Here is a 629-nt window from a genome sequence, read left to right as displayed (position 1 = left end):
ACATGTGCCATGGTGGTTTGCTGCACCTATCAACCCATGACCTAGGTATTAAGCCCCACATGCATTAGCTATTGATCCTGATGCTCTCTGTCCTGCCACCCCACTGACAAGCCCCAGTGTGTGTTGTTCCTCTCCCTGTGTCCATGTGTTCTCATTGTTCAGCTCCCACTTATAAGTGGGAACATGCAATGTTTGGTTTTCTATTCCTGTGTTAGTTTGCTGAGGACAATGGCTTCCAGCTCCATCTGTGTCCCTCCAAAGGACATTATCTCATTCCTTTTTATGGCTGCATAATATTCCATGGTGTATATGTACCATATTTTCTTTATACAGTCTATCATTGATGGGCATTTGGGTTGATTCCATGTCTTTGTCATTGTGCATAGTGCTGCAGAGAACATAGGCACACATGTGTCTTTACAATAGAATGATTTATATTCCTTTGGATATATACCCAGTAATGAGATTGCAGGGTCAAATGGTATTTCTGGTTCTAGATCATTGTGGAAGACAGTGTGGCGATTCCTCAAAGATCAAGGATTTCTTTTTTTACATCGTATTAGCAGAGGCCATCTTCTATCATCCATCTGTCTCTCTTCAACCTTTGTCTCAACATTTTGTAACTATTT

The sequence above is a fragment of the Homo sapiens genome, chromosome 7 (genome assembly GCF_000001405.40).
Source record: "Homo sapiens chromosome 7, GRCh38.p14 Primary Assembly".
NCBI lineage: Eukaryota > Metazoa > Chordata > Mammalia > Primates > Hominidae > Homo > Homo sapiens.
The sequence above is the reverse complement of the archived record's forward strand: the minus strand, read 5'-3'. Positions refer to the sequence as shown.